We start from the raw sequence: 214 nt of genomic DNA, 5'->3' as shown, positions 1-214 counted from the left end.
AGGAGGGACCTTTGCTGGGAATGGGGGGAGCTGTAGTCTCTTATCCGCACCCAGCTATTAGTCGTAGGCTCGCAGGACTACAATCCCAGCACTAAACAGGATTGTGAGCGGTGCGGATCCCTGGAGGGAGACATGGCGCGGTTTGCTCCTGCGGGGTATGCAGGCAGGAGTAGTTTTAGCCGCTTCCGGCCGTTGATCGCAGGCGATCAACTAC

Source organism: Homo sapiens, chromosome 7 (assembly GCF_000001405.40).
Source record: "Homo sapiens chromosome 7, GRCh38.p14 Primary Assembly".
NCBI classification, from domain to species: Eukaryota; Metazoa; Chordata; class Mammalia; order Primates; family Hominidae; genus Homo; species Homo sapiens.
This window is presented reverse-complemented; position numbering follows the sequence as displayed.